Source organism: Homo sapiens, chromosome X (assembly GCF_000001405.40).
Source record: "Homo sapiens chromosome X, GRCh38.p14 Primary Assembly".
Taxonomy (NCBI): domain Eukaryota; kingdom Metazoa; phylum Chordata; class Mammalia; order Primates; family Hominidae; genus Homo; species Homo sapiens.
In genome coordinates, this window is record NC_000023.11 from 66,197,207 (window position 1) to 66,213,644 (window position 16,438).

Sequence of the window (16,438 nt, forward strand, 5' to 3'; positions counted from 1 at the left end):
CATACATAACATATACACACCCACATGTACATAATACATATTAAAAGAAAAAAATTAAATAATCAGAGCTGTTCAAAGATGACATGGACTATAATGGCAGGTAGTGAGTCCCCCATCACTGGAGAGTTTTAAGCAGAAGTAGGGATGTAAGAGCAGATTAATGTATGTTTTCAAGTGAGAGATGTTCCAAATAAGTCTTAAAGTCCATTTTTAGTCCCAAAGTCCTATGATTTTGGAAAACTGAAACATAGGGAAGATTAAATTGCTGCATTTCATATAGCAAGTAATGGAAGAACGAGAAAATAAACTCATCTCTTGACTCCTTGACCAGAGTTCTCCTCATTATTCAATATTCCATGTTGCTGCTACTGCTGCTCCAAAATGCCTTTGTAGTTCATAATCTTTATTTCACTGTTTGGAGCTGATGATTCTCATTCTAGTCAATCTAAGTAATGAGTCCCATATTTTCACTACAGGCTCATCTTACCCTGGCTTGGTTGCCAAGCCCTTTGAGAAAGTAACATACCGCTGGACAGTCCCCCCTCATGCCGGTCCCACTGCTCAGGATCCTGCTTGTCTCACTTGGATGTACTTCTCTGCTGCAGATCCCATAAGAGACACAAATTCTGGCCTGGTGGGCCCGCTGCTGGTGTGCAGGGCTGGTGCCTTGGGTGCAGATGGCAAGCAGGTATTGTCAGGGTTATCTGGCTGGAAAGCCTGCTGGGAGAAGGATGAAGCTGGGTTGCTGGATAGGAGTTAAGCATGGAACTGGGTTCTAAAGTTTAGGGAATAGAAGAAAAATAATCAAGCTGGTCCATCAGAAATTAATAGTTGGTGACCTCATACTATCTTGCATGTTATTTTTTGTACTGACAAATATATATCTTCCTTAGCCTTGCAGATAATTCATGATATCCTTTCATCATCTTCTTCTTTCCTCCCTCCTTCCCTCCCTCCCTCTCTCTCCCTTTCCCTCTCCCCCTCTCCCTTTCCCTCTCCCTCACCTCGGTGGCCCCTAAACCTTGCTCCTGATCCATAAATCTGCTTTAATATTTGCTTGTCTTCTTTTGTATTCAGCCCACAATTTCTAGCTGTGTAACATTGGGTGAGCTACTTAACTTCTCTTTGACTCCGTTTCCTCATTTGTAAAAATGGGATAACGATGGAAGAAGACACCTTGGATTTCTGTGAAGATTAATTAAAATAACCCATATAAAGTGCCTAGCACAGTGTCTGGCACATATTAAGCACTCAGTAAATGTTAGTGGTAACAATAATTATCACTGATATTACTTATCTTTTATTTTCTAGTTTCCCCCCAAGACCCTCCCCTGCTTTTCTAGCCACCTCCCCTCATTCCTCTCCCCAGGTGATTACCATCTCTCTTCTTTTACACTCTATACCTCTTATTTCTTATCCTATGCTCCTTCCCTGCCCACTTTCATACAGTCTTCCCTGTCAGGCTTGTACTTTTATTGTGACATTCTTCTCTCATCTGCAATTTGAGGTTACCTAAGGAAAAACTGCTGCAGCTCTGGATAGGAGGTATGGTCTCAAAATGGGAAAAGGAAATGGGAAAGAATCTGGCATCCCTTGATCTGTAACGACACAGTCTACAACTGCTGAAACTATTGTCATTATTCCCTCTACTTTCTTCTATTGGGCCTGCAGAAAGGGGTGGATAAAGAATTCTTTCTTCTCTTCACTGTGTTGGATGAGAACAAGAGCTGGTACAGCAATGCCAATCAAGCAGCTGCTATGTTGGATTTCCGACTGCTTTCAGAGGATATTGAGGGCTTCCAAGACTCCAATCGGATGCATGGTATGGGGAGTACTTTTGCCCTGGGCTAAATTGAGGGTCCCAAGTAAAATCTAACTTTAACCGTAATCATGACCAATCCTGAAAACACTGATTTTATTGGTCATCTCTGTCCAAGAGGCGAGCTAGATTGAGAGGCTCAACCGAACACAACAGATCTTATACTTAGTACCTTTGGGTGCTGTGTCCTGTGTTACACAGTATGGGGGAAACTGGAAGAAAGTACTGCAAAATGAGGGTGTGCACAAGAAATCTACAAGAGATTGTGAAGAATAAGCCAGATGATACCTTTCCAATCTTATCTCCCCTCTTCCTTATATTTTAGTACCTTGGGTCCCCCCCCCCCATACTCCAGCCAACTGGGGCTATTTTTCTTTGTGAACATGCTGATTTCATGCTTTTGCAGTGCTGTTCCCTTCACTTGAAATGCTCCATCTCTTGATTCCCATTACTAGTTAGTTTCATCATTTGGAAAAAGTAAAACCATCTCATGAGCAAAGTTCATTCCAGTTAGAATTTACTGAGCGCCTAATTGGTACTAGGTAATGTGCTAGGTGCTCAGGCAGTCACATAGATATAGAAAAAAAATGATATGCTTCCTGTTATGTCAATCCAGTGCAGGAAATAGATTTGTAAGTAAATCACCAGAAAGTATATCAGTTACAATCCATGGCAACTGATACTGCAGAATTTTGTGGGATAAAATTTTCATGGATCGAAGAGAGAGTAAAGTATAGCTGAACGAAGATACGACAGGTAAGTGGTAGGATGCCATAGAAAGAGACCATAAGGGAAGTTTATTCCAGAAAGAGGAAATCATGTGAAAAGTCAACAGGTATTATCAAAGCACCTACAATATTTAAAGCTTTGGTAATGCAGAGAAAAATAGAGCTCACAGGACAATGGTGTGTGTGTGTGTGTGTATGGAAGAGGATGGGAGGACAGACTGCAGGTAGGGGTACCAGAGAGGAGGCTATTTTAGTTCAGGCCAGGGAGGATGAGGGCCAGAACCAGGGCAGTAGCAGTGAAGATGAAGAGGAGGAAACAGGTTGAGAGCTGAAGATGGAATTTTCAGATCCCCAACACGTATGGGGGCGTGGAAAATGAGATCTATATGGAAAAGGAACAATCAGAGTGGTTGTAAAAGGACCAGAAAGTATGTTGCCACAGAAACCAAGGAAGGAGAGTTTCAAGAAATAGGGAATAGGAGAGATTGGTGTGTGTGTGTGTGTGTGTGTGTGTGTGTGTTTGGTAGTGGAGAATAGTTCAATGTTGTCAGGATGTGGATCATGGTGGAGGTGAGGCCAGAAAGGACAGTTGAGCACTCATCCCAAAGACAGAGATATTCACGAGTAGAGTTAAAGTGGCATAGAGAGGAAGGCAGAGGTGTTGAGGATGACTCAGCAGTTTCAAGTTGTGTGAAACCATAGTACATAGCTGATGCCATGCTCCTGGCCAGTGCTGGAGTAGTCTGGTCTCATCTCCCCACCTTGTCTTGTGTTTTTGTTTTCCAGCCATTAATGGGTTTCTGTTCTCTAACCTGCCCAGGCTGGACATGTGCAAGGGTGACACAGTGGCCTGGCACCTGCTCGGCCTGGGCACAGAGACTGATGTGCATGGAGTCATGTTCCAGGGCAACACTGTGCAGCTTCAGGGCATGAGGAAGGGTGCAGCTATGCTCTTTCCTCATACCTTTGTCATGGCCATCATGCAGCCTGACAACCTTGGTAAGTGCCTTAGCAGCTGGCCCTAGAGGCTTTGTTGGGTATAGGGCCAGGAATGGGGTCGGGAAGAGGGAGGGATGGTGAAGAGAAAATAATAGGCATGTTAAGGGTTCTAGGAAGTTTTTAAAAACACTTGTCTTTTTCTTCTTCAATGTGCTCTCCATGTTCTGGTTACTTGGATTCCCTACTCAGCTGCAGGCAGAATAGTTAGTAGAAGGTGGAGGAAGCTCTTTTCTGGAACAACAGAAGGGAAGTTGGGATGTTGCTCAGCTTTAGTGAAGTTCTTATATGGCAGGGAGTGGACTTGACAACACAGAGATTTTATAGGTACAGTACTTTTATTGGGAGGAAGGTCAATAAAATGCACTTATAAGTGCTATCAAATTGATATTCTGTGAGGCTTTCTACAGACTCATTTCTGATCTCTCCCTCTCTCTTTCTCTTTCTACCCATGATGCGCCCCACCCTCTGCCCCCTGCCACCCCGTGTGTGTGTTTGTGTGTGTGTGTGGTGATGTAACAATTTCAGCCTGGAAATCAGAACACAGGAGCCCTAGTTCAGGCTCTTTCATTAACTTGCTGCGTAACTTTGGTCTAATTACTTCCCTTCTCTCTAGCTAGATTTCCTGCCTTGATTCTTTCCTTTCTGCCTTCCTTCCTTCTGTCCTTTTGTCCTCCCTCCATCTCTCCTTCCCTCTATATCCTTTTTCTTCCTTTTATGAAGATATTTGACTATAATGTTTCTTCAGATTCTATGTATTTCTAGAATTTCATAATAGAGCAGTTATCTTTTCTTTAGTCCCTATGGTGTATTTTTTTTTCCAGCCATTAGATGGCAATAGTGTTTGTAAGAACAACCTGTCAGCTCCACGCAGTTCCTATTAAACTTTTGTTTTACTCCTGTAAATTTCATTCATATCTGGGGGGAAAAACATCCTTGAACAAGTGTCTTCAACGCTTTAATAATATTAACCTAGTCCTGAGTTTGACAAACACTTGACATAAAGCTGGTCTCCTCAGAAATAGAAAGGACAATTTGGAGGCTATTGCAGTTTTCTCTGTGAGAGAAGCTTGTGGCTTGGACTCGGGAAGTGGCAGTTTAAACGAAAAAATAATTTTGAAGGAATTGCTGATAGGATTTACTGATGCAATAGATAACGGTGGTAAGGGAAATAGAAGAAGTAGATGTGGAAAGAAATGAGTAGACCCTTTCTTTCAACGTGTTTATAAACTAGTAGAAGGGATCATTTTAAAAGAGAGGGGCACTTAGCCCTTTAACATGTGGTTTAGATATAAAGTGCATTAGAGGTGGAGAAGTGAAGAATGTAGAACTCTATTTGGGCCAAAATAGTCAGGGAGGGCTTTCTGGAAAAGAAACATGAATTGAGTCTTGGATAATGAGTGGACTCTCATAGATACTTGGGGGTGGGGTGGGCAGGTAAGTTCCAGAAAGAGGATAACAAAATGAATGAAGATTTCAAGGTAGGAATGAATGAGATGTGTGAGAGAAACAGTCAGAGTTCCATGTAGTTGGAGTGCTAGTTGAGTTTGAGACAATGTGTGGGAGGTGGAACTGGATTGGTAGTTTGGTGCCAACTCATAGAAGGCTTTGAAAGCCAGGAAGAAGAGTTTGTAGTGATGGGATAAGCACTGAGCAGCAAAGTAAGGAAACAATGAGAGTAATGTTCTAAGAAATTTAGCTTCTTTTGATCGACATTGAGTTTGAGTATCCTTGAGTTAGAAATTTGGAGCTTAAGATCTGGTCCAGGCAACTTCACAACACAGACATTTAAGACTGTTACCTGCACATTCCATTGTAAAAAATGAGTGAAGGACCTTCTAAAGCTGTCTTAGGTAAGCATCCCTCTGCAATCAAGACATTCTCTTTCTTTTTACCTAACTATTGAAGTCTACTTTATTTCTTTGGTACTTGATAGGAGACAACTCATCAATGTTTTTCTTGGAATAAGAATTATTACAGCTATATTTACTTATTTATAGCATCACTTAACTGAACATTGAATATGTTCTATACTAAGCACTGTTCACAAATTATTGTGTTTAATTGTAAAACAACCAAATAAAGTAAAATAATCCTCATTTTACTGATGAGGGAACTGAAAAACACAGAGGTTTAGCAATTGCCACAAGGTTTTATGTGTGCATATATATATATATATATATATATATACACACACACACACACACATAATATATTTTTATATATGTATATATATATGATTTATATATAATAAATGAAAGATAGGGTTACCAACCATGGCAGTTTGCCTAGTACTGAGGGGTTTCTAGGAATATGGGACTTACAGTGCTAAAACTAGAAACACCCTGGAAGAAGTTGGTTATTCTAGCGGCAGAGTTTAGTTTTAATAAACCCAGTGTATGTAGCTTTGGAGCCGGAGCTCTTAACCTTTGAGCCCATTACTCTCAATAAACTTTAAATACTCTTTTATCTATGTGTAGTTAAGGCAAGAGCCTTATCTGAGACTATCTGAAACTAACTCTTTTCTGCAGTATGCCTAGGGAAAGGCAGGAAATCCCCCAGGCACTACCCAGGGATGTTCTGAGTCAGATTTTTCTCTCTGATCCTCCCTCAGGGACATTTGAGATTTATTGCCAGGCAGGCAGCCATCGAGAAGCAGGGATGAGGGCAATCTATAATGTCTCCCAGTGTCCTGGCCACCAAGCCACCCCTCGCCAACGCTACCAAGCTGCAAGAATCTACTATATCATGGCAGAAGAAGTAGAGTGGGACTATTGCCCTGACCGGAGCTGGGAACGGGAATGGCACAACCAGTCTGAGAAGGACAGGTAAGGCTTCATAAATGGAGAGATTACACTTTTAGAAAAACATTTTGCAAATGAGAATACTGAAATTCTGAGATGAGGAGACTCTTATCTCAGGTCTCCTAATGTGATACCAACAGATTTGGGAGATGGGGCTATAATGCAGCTCTTATGAATTCTAGCTCACTGCTGCTTCCATATTGATATAGGGAGGGAATAAAGCTTGCCCACACCTTCACCCTCTTAATCTTTGTCTCTCTTCTTTCAGTTAGCTGGAAGTATTTACCCTGGGACTTAAATTTTACAGGATTTACTCAAGGGATTGAATGTCTCAAGCTCAGCTGTCCCTTGACAAAATGGCATTGCATTTATTAAGGTACAGACTAAGCTATGTAGCAGAAAATGTCTAAAACAGAGTGATTTAAATATGATAGAATTTTATTTCTTATTCACATAATAATACAAATATGAGCAATTCAGGGCTGGCAGGTGAACCCTATCATCCTCAGCACTTGCTTTCCTTTCTGGGGCCAAGATGTCTGTTCCAGTTGTAGCTATTCCCGGCTATCATGAAGAAAGAAAGAAAGAAGTCCAGGGCAAGCAGCATTGTCTATAAGGACACAGCATGGAAATTGTATATATCACTTTTTCTTATACTCTGTTGTTCTGAACTAATTCTTATGGCCATAATTGGCTGCAAAAAGAGTCTAAAAGATGTAATCTCTAATTAGTCAGCCATGTGCTCAGCTAAAAGTTAGGTGATTCTATTACTAAAAAAGAAGGAGAGAACGGAAATGGAGATACAAATTAGCAGTCTCCACTACTTTGTTTTTGGTGCTGTCACTACACTTTAGCAATTTTTACTCTTTGCGTTGTTCGTTGAAGGTTGAAGTCTTCCTGCTAAACATCTAAAAATTTTACTTTATTTTTAATTCTTGATTTTTGATGTTCAGATAGACATACAATTATGAAAACAAAAATCCATGGAATGTATGCTAAGTTTTCTGTAAACAGAAGCAGATAACTGGGCTGGACATTTTTTTGAAGATTCCATCTATCACCTCTGTCTATATACATGCTAAAAGGAAAATATGTTACTAATTGATACTGACTTTGAAAACACTAATTTAAGCCACAATTGAATTATCAGCAACTACTGAGAATAAAATTTGACTTTATGTAGAAATCAGTTATTTATTTAGTTCCTCTCACTTGTTTCTGATCAGAACCCAGTGAGATACTTCTAACAAGATCTTATAATTTAAAAAAAAGAAAAAGGAAAAGAGATATTTACATCAGTTTTTTAAAAATATAATATTAGTTGCTAGCATTCAGGTAGGGCCCAAGTGAGAATGGTTTTTTTAATAATTTGGACTTTTATTATAGATTCAGGCAGTACATGTGCAGGTTTCTTACATGGGTATATTGTGCAATGCTACATTTTAGAATATAAATGATCCTGTCATCCAGGTAGTGAGCATAGTATCCAATAGTTAGTTTTTCAACCGTTTTCCGCATCCCTCCTCCCCCTTTAGTAATCCCCAGTGTCTCTTGTTAAATCTTTCTTTTAATTAATTTCAACTTTTATTTTAGGTATGGGGGTACATGTGCAGGTTTGTTACATGGGCATGTTATGTGATGCTGAGGTTTGGGGTACAGATCCCATCACATAGGTAGTAAGCATAGTACCCAATAGTTTTTCAACCCTTGCCCTCCACCCCAATTTCTATTGTTGCCATCTTTATGTCCATATGTACCCAATGCATAGCTACCACTTATAAGTGAGAACTTTTTTGTTTTCTGTTCCTGCATTCATTTGCTGAGAAATTAATGGCCTCCAGGTACATCCATGTTGCTGAAAAGGACATAATTTCATTCTTTTTCAAGTCTGCATAGAATTCCATTGTTTGTACATACCACATTTTCTTTATCCAGTCCACCACTGATGGGCACCTAGGTTGATTCTATGTCTTTGCTATTGTGAATAGTGCTGTGATGAACATATGAATGCATGTGTCTTTTTGATAGAATGATCTATTTTTCATGCTTTTTTTTTTTTTGAGATAGAGTCTCAGTCTGTCACCCAGGCTGGAGTGCAGTGGTGTGATCTTGGCTCACTGCAACCACCACCTCCCAGGTTCAAGCAATTCTCCTGCCTCAGCCTCCCAAGTAGCTGGGACTACAGGTGCACGCTGCCACACCCATATATTGCCCATTTTTAATGGGGTGATTTGTTTTTTGCTTGCTGAATTGTTTCAGTTTTTGGAAATTTTAAAAAGTGACTTCCCGTCTCTGAACCTGGGTATACTCATCTTGAAAATGATGCAGTATAAGATGAAAGAACAGGACTAGAAAACGAGGGAGGGAAGGAGCAGCAGACTTGAATCTAAATCCTGGCTCACTTTCTGGCTAACAATGTCACTTGTAGAATAAGTCCTGTCATCTCTGTGCAATTGATTGCACCTCTGGCACCTACCTACCCCATAGGCCTATTAGAAATATCAAATGATAAATCTGTTTGTAAACTAGACAGAATCCTATAAGGAGAAAATCTGTAAGATTTCATTCCCTCCCTATGTCTCACCATCCTTTGCCCTCTGGTTGCAGCAGTAGTTAATACTTTCCTGCCACCTTGTATCTTGCCTTTTGTAAAACTAATTTCATCAAGACATCATTAGGGCTGGAGCTAAAGCCTGTGGCTTCTGATTCTTAGCCCAGTGCTCTTATAGTATGAATTATATACCAAATTTGTATTTGGATGATGGCAAACAAGGAAACCTGCCATCTTTTTTTTTTTTTTTTTTTTTTTTTTTTTTTTTTTTTTTTTTTGACAAAGCCTCACTCTGTTGCCCAGGCTGGAGTGCAGTGGCATGATCTTGGCTCACAGCAACCTCTGCCTCCCAGGTTCAAGTGATTCTTGTGCCTCAGCCACCCAAGTAGCTGGGATTACGGGCACAAGCCACTACACCCAGCTGATTTTTTTTTTAATTTTTAGTAGAGATAGGGTTTTGCCATGTTGGGCAGGCTGGTCTCAAACTCCTGAGCTTAAGCAATCTACCGGCCTTAGCATCCCAAAGTGCTGAGATTACAGGTGTGAGCCACTGTGTATGGCATACCTGCCAACTTTAATTGTGGTTATGCAGCCAATGTGGTGAGAAGTCTGACATTAGAAGAAATAGGGGCCAGGTGTGGTGGCTCATGCCTGTAATCCCAGCACTTTGGGAGGCCAAGGTGGGTGAATCATCTGAGGTCAGGAGTTCAAAACCAGCCTGACCAACATGGAGAAACCCTGTCTCTACTAAAAAATACAAAAAGTAGCCGGGCGTGGTGGCGCATGCCTGTAATCCCAGCTACTCTGGAGGCTGAGGCAGGATAATCGCTTGAACTCGGAAGGCGGAGGTTGTGGTGAGCCGAGATCATGCCATTGCACTCCAGCCTGGGCAACAAGAGCGAAACTCCGTCTAAAATAATAATAATAATAAATAAATTTAAAAAAAAGAAAAAAAAAGAAATAGGTCCCCCCCCTTTTTTTTTTCTGTCTGTGACATGAAGCTGGTTCTGACTTAGCTTCCCCATAAATACTCAAATGAAAATGAGGGGTTGATGGCCAGGTGCTGATAGTACTCTTTGGATTCCTCTAGTTATGGTTACATTTTCCTGAGCAACAAGGATGGGCTCCTGGGTTCCAGATACAAGAAAGCTGTATTCAGGGAATACACTGATGGTACATTCAGGATCCCTCGGCCAAGGACTGGACCAGAAGAACACTTGGGAATCTTGGGTAAGGGAATTCTACTTCCCTCCTAGTGTTTAGCAGCCTGAACTCCACCTAGGGAAGCTATGTTATACCAGGATGGCCTCACTATTCCCCATTCTCAATGTTTTCATATGATATACTGGAATTATGGAATATTTTATGAAACAACCATGACAATAAACAGTGAAGGGGGAGGAAGGAAATCATGAATTCATGAACCAGATTTTACTGGGTTTTCTATAGCTTCAAGGTATGAGTCTCTGAGGATGGTAAGTTGTAATAAATGCTAGGGGCAGAATAACTTAGGAACATCAAAATGTGAAAAAACTATATATATACACAAGGAATCAGTTTTTTCATTGTACCGCTGTTTAATTATTGCTTTAGGTGGTTTCCCCCTTATTCTAGTTATGGTACAGAAGGGACCCACTGACTCCTAAAGAGATCCTCTCAATTCTTTATTGTCTGCCAAACTTATCACTCTTTATCGTCAATGATTCCACAGCACCTTGATTCTTTAGACCCTTGGGCTGTTATAGATAGAGGGTAGGGGTGGGAAAAGTGGAGGTAATTGGAAGTATAATCTTGTCATTGAAGTACCTTCATCCTGTGGGTAGTAGTAACAGTTTAAGGACTTCTGAATCTTAAAATGGAGCCAGCCATGCCTTCTAGGTCTTAGAAGGATGTTTTGTCAGGGTAAACCACTAATTCTATGAAGTGCTCATATATGTCCCTTTCTTTAATGCTCCCTGTGCTCCTGCATTAATGAAACTTTATTTATTTAATTATTTTTGTTTACATTAGGTCCACTTATCAAAGGTGAAGTTGGTGATATCCTGACTGTGGTATTCAAGAATAATGCCAGCCGCCCCTACTCTGTGCATGCTCATGGAGTGCTAGAATCTACTACTGTCTGGCCACTGGCTGCTGAGCCTGGTGAGTGGGGACACTTAGTGAAAGAACAAAGGACATGCATCACGTCTGCTTCAGGCTTCTGGATTTTTCCTTAAAAAATTAATGTACTTCAGACTGGAGTGATAGCTCATTCCTGTAATCCCAGCAGTTTGAGAGGCTGAGGCGGGTGGATCACTTGAGGTTAGGAGTTCAAGACTAGCCTGGCCAACATGGTGAACCCTCATCTCTACCAAAAATACAAAAATTAGCTGGGTGCAGTGGTGTGCACCTGTAGTCTCAGCTACTCGGGAGGTTTAGGCAGGAGAATCTCTTGAACCCAGGAGGTGGAGGCTGCAGTGAGCCAACATCATGCCACTGCACTCCAGCCTGGGTGACAAGTAAGACTCCATCTCAAATATATACATACATATATATATATATATATATATATATATATATATATATATATATATGAGCTTAGAGACCTGAAATAGGAATATAGCCAAAACTAAGCCACAGCCTGAGTTTTTCTCTATCAAATACTCATTTTCTCAATCCCCGAATAGGCTATGGCTTAGACTTGGCTAATATTCCTGTTTCAGATCTCTATATACCCTTGGATACAGTATGAGCTCCTAATCTTGACTAGAGAGTGATGTGACCTAGGCCACAAGCTGATCATTCAGCCCTTAGCCCAGTAAATAAAGTTCTTGTACCCTTCTTGCAGACTGAATTCTAACCCCAGTCACATACTAAGCTCCTAATACTAAATATAGAATAATCATAATCTTGTCAACATTCTCTTTTATTAATTCATTCATTGAATAAACACTTACTGGAGGCCTACTGGGTGACAAGAACAACTTTAGAATCTATCGATGCAGTAGTGAACACTTGCTCCTGTCTTGAAGAAACTTGAGCTGTTATGATAGAAACAGGTAAAACTGGTAACTATAATCCAGTGTGTTAAGTGTTAATAGGAGTTTTTACAGTGTGATAGGCATGTGAAGAAAAGGGTATTTAATCTAATGTTTGAATAGTCAGGAATGGTTTTCCAGATTAGGTGATATCTCAGCTGAGACCTAAATCAGTAGTTTTCAAACCTTAGCATGTATCAGGATCACCTAGAGGCTTGCTAAAACACAGATCGCTGGAATCAACTTTGAAAGTCTCTGATTCAGTAGGTGTGTGATGGAGCTCAGGAATTTGCTCATTCAAATAAGTTCTCATGCTGCTAGTTCAGAAACTACACTTTGGAAACAGGTGACCTAAAGGATGAAAAAAGGGACATATGGGTGAAGGTAAAGTACAGTATGGAAGAAAAGCAGGGAAAAGGAAGTTCCAGATTTAAAGAATGCAGTGTGCAAAGGCAAAGAGATTGAAGTTGGTGTAAAGGAAAAAGAATAGATTCTAAAAAGATCAATGAGGTAAAATAAGCAAGATATGGTGATTAATTGGATTTTGAAGGTGAGAAAGATAAGTATTATTGAATGATATCGGTGTTTTTGGAGAAAGATTCTTAAATAATACCCAGTTTTTGATTTGGACAACCAGGAAAATAGTGATGCCATTCATCAAGATAGGGAACATAAGAGAAAGGTGACTTGAGATGGAGTGGGAGGATTGGAGTATTGGATGATGATGAGTTCCCTTTTGAATTTGTTGGATTTGGTATATTTGTAAGTTGATCAAATATAGGTATCTAGACATAAAGATAGACTTACAGATCTGGAGCCCAGGAGGAAAGTATGCTCTGAAGGAATAGATGTGGGAAGCATCAACATCTAGATAGTGGTTAAAAGCATAAGAGTGAACACAGTTACCCCAGAAGAGTATATTGAATGAGAAAGTAAAAATACTCAGATGAGACCCCGAGGAAGGCCAATTTTTAAGGGAGGTACCGATTGAAATGTGAGCCTGAGAAAAAGTTAGCAAAATAGGAGGAAAATCAAAATGAGATTACAGATGTTAAGAAAGGTCATGTCAAGGATGAAGTAGTCAACAGCTTCAGCTGCTCCAAAGAGTTCAAATAAAATAAGAGCAGAAAATTTTCCATTGCTTATAGCAATAGGGAAATGGCTGATGATTTTGATAAATTGGGGAAAGAAGCTATATTAGAATGTATTAGAGAGTAATCGGGAGATAAGAGATTGAAAACAGTGAGTATGGCTTAATTTTAAGACTTAGGCAGAACAATTTTAGGTAATGAGAAGGTCAGGGTTGTGCCCAAAGGCTAAAGTAAAGTGGAGGCAAAGGACACTACAGTTGAGGAGATCTAGGGACTAATAGGCTAGAGTGTTGGATAAATCATCCACATGCACCTTGAAGTCACTCAGAAAAATGGTGGGGATTGGGATGGAAAAGAGGATGGTGATCCAGGTACTAAAATAATCAATAAATGACCATTAAGAGAGAAGGGATACATTGGAAGTTGGGAAACCAGTTAGAAGGTTGTAGTGATCTACAAGTGATGATAATGGCTTAAACAAAGGTAATAGAAAATGAGAATGGAGACAACTAGATAAATTTGAGAGATGTTAAGGCAGAATAAATAGGATATTTTGATTGAATGGGTGTTGAGAAGATTAGGGAGATGGTGGAATCAAGGTTCATAACCAAGTTTTTGGATTAAGCACCTGGATGTTGGTACCACTCACAAAGAAAATAAATGCAGGAAGCAGGGGGCAGTTTTTTGTTTGTTTGTTTGTTTAGAGTGGGGAGATGTTGACTTTATTTTTGAAAATCTTAATATGAGATGCCATAAAACATCGAGGTGGAAATGAGAGAGCTGTACGGATAGAAGATTATCATCAGTTTGAGATATGGATCTGTAACTTGGAAGAGACACCTGGGATAGCATAGGAATTTAACAGTCATAAGTAATTACAATGGATGATAGTTGAAATCATGATATGCATGTAATCACCCAGTGAGATAGTGTGTAAAGTGACAATGGCATCAGCTGAGAATGAAACTTTGGAACATACTATTATTTAAGAGGAGGTACTCTATCTTAAATAATGTATAGGTTTAAAGTAGTTCTAACTTAAATTACAGTTCGATATTTTATTTTATTTGTACAAATGTAAGGAGTATATGAGAAATTTTGTTACATGTATATTATGTATAGTGATCAAGTCAGAATATGTACAGTGTCCATCATCCAAGTATAATATATTTTTGTTAAGTATAGTAATCTTAATCTGCTATCAAACATTGAATTCATTCCATTTTACTGCATATTTGTACCCTTTAAATCAGTTTTCTTCATCTTTCCCTTTCTTTCACACTCACCACCCTTCCCAGTCTCTGTTATCTACCTTTCCACTCTTCACTTCCATATGATCAAATTTTTTAGCTCCTGCATATAAGTGAGAAAATGCAATGTTTGTCTTTTTGTGTCTGGTTTATTTTACTTAAGATAATGACCTCCATTTCCATCCATGTTGCTGCAGATTATATGATTTCATTCTTTTTTATGGCTGAATAGTATTCCATTGTGTATATATACCACATTTTCTTTATCCATTCATCCCTTGATGAACACAGGTTGATTTCATATCTTTATTATTGTGAATAGTGCTACAAGAAATATATAAGTGCAGGTATTCCATTGATATATTGTTTTCTTTTCATTTGGGTAAATACCTAGTAGTGACATTGCTGGATTGAATAGTAATTTTTTAGTTTTTTTAGAAATTTTCATACCATGTTTTATAGTGGCTCCACTAGTTTACATTTCCACCAATAGTGTGTAAGAGTTCCCTTTTCTCTGAATCCTTGCCAGCATCTGTCATTATTATTTTTTTTTCTTTTTAGTAATAGCCATTCTGACTAGGGTAATATGATCTGTCATTGTGGTTTTAATGTGCATTTCCCTGATAATTAGTAATGTTGAGCATTTTTTCATATACCTGTTGGCCATTTGTATGTCTTATTTTGAGAAATGTCTATTCATGTCCTTTACCCACTTTTTAATGTGTTTTTTTTTTTTTTCCTCTTAACTTGCTTGAGTTTCTTGGTATTCTAGTATTAGTCTCCTGTCAAATGAATACTTTGTAATTTTTTTTTCCCATTCAGCAGGTTGTCTTTTCACTCTGTTGATTATTTCCTTTGCTGTGCAATAGCTATTTAGTTAAATATAGTCCCGTGTGCCTATTTTTGGTTTTATTAACTGTATTTTTGAGGTCATAAATTCTTTGCCTCAACCAATGTTCAGGAGAGTTTCCCTCCAGTTTTCTTCTAGTATTTTTATAGCTTCACATATCCATCGTGAGATAATTTTGTATATGGTGAGAGATATAGGTCCAGTTTTATTCTTCTGCATGTGGCTGTGCAGTTTTCTCAGCACTATTTATTAAAGAGGATGTTCTTTCTCCAATGTAAGTTTTTGTCAGTTTTGTCAAAGATCAGTTGTTGACTGTAAATATGTGGCAATATTTTTGGATTTTCTATTCTGTTTCATTGGTCTATTTGTCTATTTTTATACCATGCTGTTTTGATTACCATAGCCTTTTAATATATTTTGAAGTCAGGTAATGTAATGCCTCCAGTGGTTTATTTATTTATTTATTTGTTTATGGCTCAGGACTGCTTTGGCTATTTGGGCTCTTTTTTGGTGTCATATAAATTTTCAAATTTTTAAAAAGTTTTGTGAAGAATGACATTGATATTTTGAGAGGAATTGCATTGATTCTGCAGATTGCTTTGGACAATATGGTCATTTTAATGATATTAATTCTTTTGATTTTTTTTATTTGTTTTTATCCTCTTCAATTTCTTTCATCAGTGTTTGTAGTTTTTTTTAAATTAATTTATTTATTTTATTTATTTATTTTAATTATTATACTTTAAGTTTTAGGGTACATGTGCACAAAATGCAGGTTAGTTACATATGTATACATGTGACATGCTGGTGCGCTGTACCCACTAACTCATCATCTAGCATTAGGTCTATCTCCCAATGCTATCCCTCCCCCCTTCCCCCACCCCACAACAGTCCCCAGAGTGTGATGTTCCCCTTCCTGTGTCCATGTGTTCTCATTGTTCAGTTCCCACCTATGAGTGAGAATATGCGGTGTTTGGTTTTTTGTTCTTGTGATAGTTTACTGAGAATGATGATTTCCAATTTCATCCATGTCCCTACAAAGGACATGTTTATTGTGGCACTATTCACAATAGCAAAGACTTGGAACCAACCCAAATGTCCAACAATGATAGACTGGATTAAGAAAATGTGGCACATATACACCATGGAATACTATGCAGCCATAAAAAATGATGAGTGTTTGTAGTTTCTATTGTAAAGCTCTTTCACCTCTTTGGTTAAAATTTTTACTATGTATTTTTATTATTCCTAGGTATTTTATTATTTTGTATAACTACAACTGGATATATTTTTGTATTGCAATGAAATTCTTGTATGCAAAGTTCATTTGGA

General features: G+C 38.8%; 1 protein-coding gene across 26 annotated transcripts in view; it reads left to right on the forward strand.

Moving 5' to 3' along the window:
* The window catches only part of HEPH (hephaestin), a 106,193-nt gene that overhangs the window by 34,536 nt on the left and 55,219 nt on the right, over positions 1–16,438 (forward strand). For 17 of the 26 annotated variants that reach the window (NR_159801.2, XM_047442695.1, XM_047442694.1 and 14 more), the window contains 6 exons: positions 477–688; positions 1,672–1,822; positions 3,334–3,546; positions 6,158–6,371; positions 9,989–10,128; positions 10,909–11,040. Coding sequence is in view for 23 of the 26 variants with exons in the window: in XM_047442695.1 (XP_047298651.1) it covers positions 477–688; positions 1,672–1,822; positions 3,334–3,546; positions 6,158–6,371; positions 9,989–10,128; positions 10,909–11,040 (1,062 nt within the window). In the remaining 3 variants the exon portion in view is untranslated. Of the gene's footprint in view, positions 1–476; positions 689–1,671; positions 1,823–3,333; positions 3,547–6,157; positions 6,372–6,615; positions 6,724–9,988; positions 10,129–10,908; positions 11,041–16,438 lie in introns of all 26 variants that reach the window. The other 9 variants (XM_047442698.1, XM_011531074.3, XM_047442696.1 and 6 more) reach the window with 3 other exon arrangements.